Source organism: Homo sapiens, chromosome 11 (genome assembly GCF_000001405.40).
Source record: "Homo sapiens chromosome 11, GRCh38.p14 Primary Assembly".
Classification (NCBI taxonomy): Eukaryota; Metazoa; Chordata; class Mammalia; order Primates; family Hominidae; genus Homo; species Homo sapiens.
In genome coordinates, this window is record NC_000011.10 from 37,856,384 (window position 1) to 37,859,826 (window position 3,443).

A 3,443-nucleotide genomic window follows, 5' to 3' on the forward strand; every position below is an offset into this window, starting at 1 on the left:
ACAAAAATTCACTAACATGGAGAAAATAGCACCAAGCCATTCATGATTGATCTGGCCAGATGATCCCAACACCTTTCACCAACAGCCCCACCTCCAATACTGGAGATCAAATTTTGACATGAGATTTGGAAAGGACAAATATCCAAAATGTATCATTGGCCATCCCTGGAGTGTAACGCATCCTGAGGACAACAGACACATTTTATTTGGAACCCTGTCTTTTTCTTTGGCTGGTTTCAATATATCATTTTCCTGTAATAAACTGTACTCAGTGTATGACAACATTCAGAGGGTTTTGTGAGTATTTCTAGCAAACTAAAAGTTGGTGTTCAAAGTGCTGGATAGAATTGAAGTCTGGAAGACTATGCCTTCAAACCTCACAATTTGGCTAATTCCAGGTAAGTGACCTAAAAAAATGTGGAAAACTAATTTATGTTAGTTTTTTGTTTGTGTGTTTGTTTCTCAATGTTAATTCCAGGATGCGAAAGCTCTGTATACTTGTCTTCAAATACTAAATTCCTATCATTGACTGAGATTTCTGTTTCAGTAAGAAAACATTAATATTGGAAATTACATGAGATATTCAGAAAACTGCCTGTTCTTATTCAGAACCTCACATATGTTTATTGCTCTTTGAGAATTTAAAAATTTATATGTTTGTGAAATTACCCTTAGCAGAAATTAAGGGAGGAGACATTACCAACTAGAAGAAAGTTAAGCAATGGCTTACTTAGCATAAAGTACTGATGATAGAAGAAAAGAAAAAGAGAGGATATACTTAAATGAATAAAATTATTCTACATTCGAGTTTTGGATGGTAGAGGAAATTCTTTTGTTACTATAATGAAGGAGCCAAGTCTTTAAGACACACTGCGTGTCCTCACACTCTTTCATCAAATTTTCAAAACAGACATAAGTCCATTTCCATGAAACATCACAGTCTCTCAAGTTAAATGAGTTAGATGAACTTATATAAGTATTGCCATAAGATCTTGAATTGCATTGATAAGTGTGCCAGCATGATTAAGATGTTGAAATGGCCTCGTTGTCTGGCGTGACACCAGAAGTTCTTTGTCTCACAGCCGAGGAAATTAAGGACAAAGAACCACACCAAGGGTGAGGTTAGAGCAGATGTTTAATAGGCAAAAGAAAGAAAACAGCTCTCTGCTGTAGAGAGGGGCCTCGAACAACGTTGCCCATTTCTCAGTGAAATGCTAGGGTTTTTATAAATGAGCTAGTGGGGAGTGGGTATCTTATCTACTTAAGACACAAAAAAACCAGTTAGGACTAGGTGTGTCATCCGCATAGGGCATGAATCTCTGGCAGCCACCACCCCAACCTTTTATTGCACAGGCAGATCCTTAGGCTAAGTTACTCCATGTTGCTTATTTTTTCCCCACTGTGCATGTGCTCGGCGGGGGCAGAACCATTCATGGTGAATGTGCCTGGCCCAAGGTAGTTCTTCTTATTCGTGTAGCTGCAAGCACCCCTCCCTCCCTGTCCCGCCCCTCCCCCCAAGCTTCCTTATCTTAGTATGGCCAAAAAAGGAAAGGAATGTGGTCACTAGGGCCCCCAATGTGCTTAATGGGGCCCACCTTGTGTATTTGAAGCTTGCTGATTACCCAGGAGGCTCTCCTTCTGTGCTGGAACTCCCTTCCTTATCTATGTTTGTAGCCCAATCTTCCAAGCTGCTCTTTGCTAGAGAGGGAATTCTGTTGAGGACACTTTGCCCTATCTGCCTAGCTGGTTTCTTCCTTTCTGCTCTCTCAATATTAAGATAAGACTACTGAATTACATATTGTCTTTGTCACTTCCGATCTGTTCTATATAAAAGAGTTCCAAAATAAGCAACTTTGCTACAATAAGGGCAGAGATATATTTATCTAGCTGAGATAATGATTCAACATTCCTATATTCTTTCAAATAATGGCATTATGAACATTTGGGAGAGAGAGAGCTAGATAAATTCCACTCCAGAGCTAACCTCTACGCTTTTGACGAAATGCTAAATATTCCATCTTCTCTGTTGTAGCAAGTATATAAATTTAGAAAAAATACATTTTTTGCTATAATGTATTTGTGTGGCATTTGGTAAACTACACATTTTAAAATATACATCAATCATCCTGCTAAGCAACCTATTTAAAGTGTTAATATGTAATACCAAGTGATGCCTGTTGGTGGCTAAATATGTACAGATCTTTCTACAATGCTTGATCTTATAAACTTTGCCCCAGATATATAATTGTTAACTTTCTAATAGAACTTAGCTTCTATTGCATGGAAATGATTCCATGTCTTTGGACTTTAAATTATCAACCTGTGGATGTTCTCTAGTAGTCTCTATTTTTGAAGATGCAGTAACCAGCCAAGCTGCGGTACTCAAAGCATGTATGCAGTGAATTTATCTTCCTTATATGAGTAAAAATTTTCATAAAGAGAAGCAACATGATTAAGCTGCAAATTCTGTTACCCATACAAAGATTATTTTTTTAAAAAAATTATCTTCTCTGTAAGTATCAAATATGCCACATGCATTTAATTAATGTTCCTTTGTGGGGAAAGAGAGATCAGACTATTACTGTGTCTATGTAGAAAGAAGTAGACATAAGAGACTCCATTTTGTTCTGTACTAAGAAAAATTCTTCTGCCTTGAGATGCTGTTAATCTGTAACCCTACCCCCAACCCTGTGCTCGCAGAAACATGTGCTGTGTCCACTAAAGGTTTAATGGATTTAGGGCTATGCAGGATGTGCTTTGTTAAACAAATGCTTGAAGGCAGCATGCTTGTTTAAAGTCATCACCACTCCCTAATCTCAAGTACCCAGGGACACAAAACACTGAGGAAGGCCGCAGGGACCTCTGCCTAGGAAAGACAGGTATTGTCCAAGGTTTCTCCCCAGGTGATAGTCTGACATACGGCCTCATGGGAAGGGAAAGACCTGACCATCCCCCAACCTGACACCCGTAAAGGGTCTGTGCTGAGGAGGATTAGTAAAAGAGGAAGGCCTCTTTGCAGTTGAGATAAGAGGAAGGCATCTGTCTCCTGCTTGTCCCTGGGCAATGGAATGTCTTGGTGTAAAACCCGATTGTATATTCCATCTACTGAGACAGGAGAAAACCGCCTTAGGGCTGGAGGCAGGACACACTGGCGGCAATACTGCTCTTTAATGCATTGAGATGTTTATGTAAGTGCACATCCAAGCACAGTACCTTTTTCTTAACCTTGTTTATGACACAGAGTCATTTGTTCACATGTTTTCCTGCTGACCCTCTCCCCACTATTACCCTATTGTCCTGCCACATCCCCCTCTCCAAGATAGTAGAAAAAATGATCAATAAATACTGAAGAAACTCAGAGACCGGTGCCGGCGCGGGTCCTCCATATTCTGAGCATGGGTCCCCTGGGCCCACTTTTCTTTCTCTATACTTTGTCTTTGTGT

The 3,443-nt window shown here is 39.7% G+C and overlaps 1 annotated feature.

Annotated features, from left to right (window-relative positions):
* Positions 2,522-3,097: an enhancer, noted in NCBI's record as "OCT4-NANOG-H3K27ac hESC enhancer chr11:37880455-37881030 (GRCh37/hg19 assembly coordinates)". NCBI's record gives its function as "activates a minimal SCP1, AML or CMV promoter by ChIP-STARR-seq in naive H9 embryonic stem cells {active_cell/tissue: H9 hESC(naive)}" and the evidence as "EXISTENCE:reporter gene assay evidence [ECO:0000049][PMID:30033119]".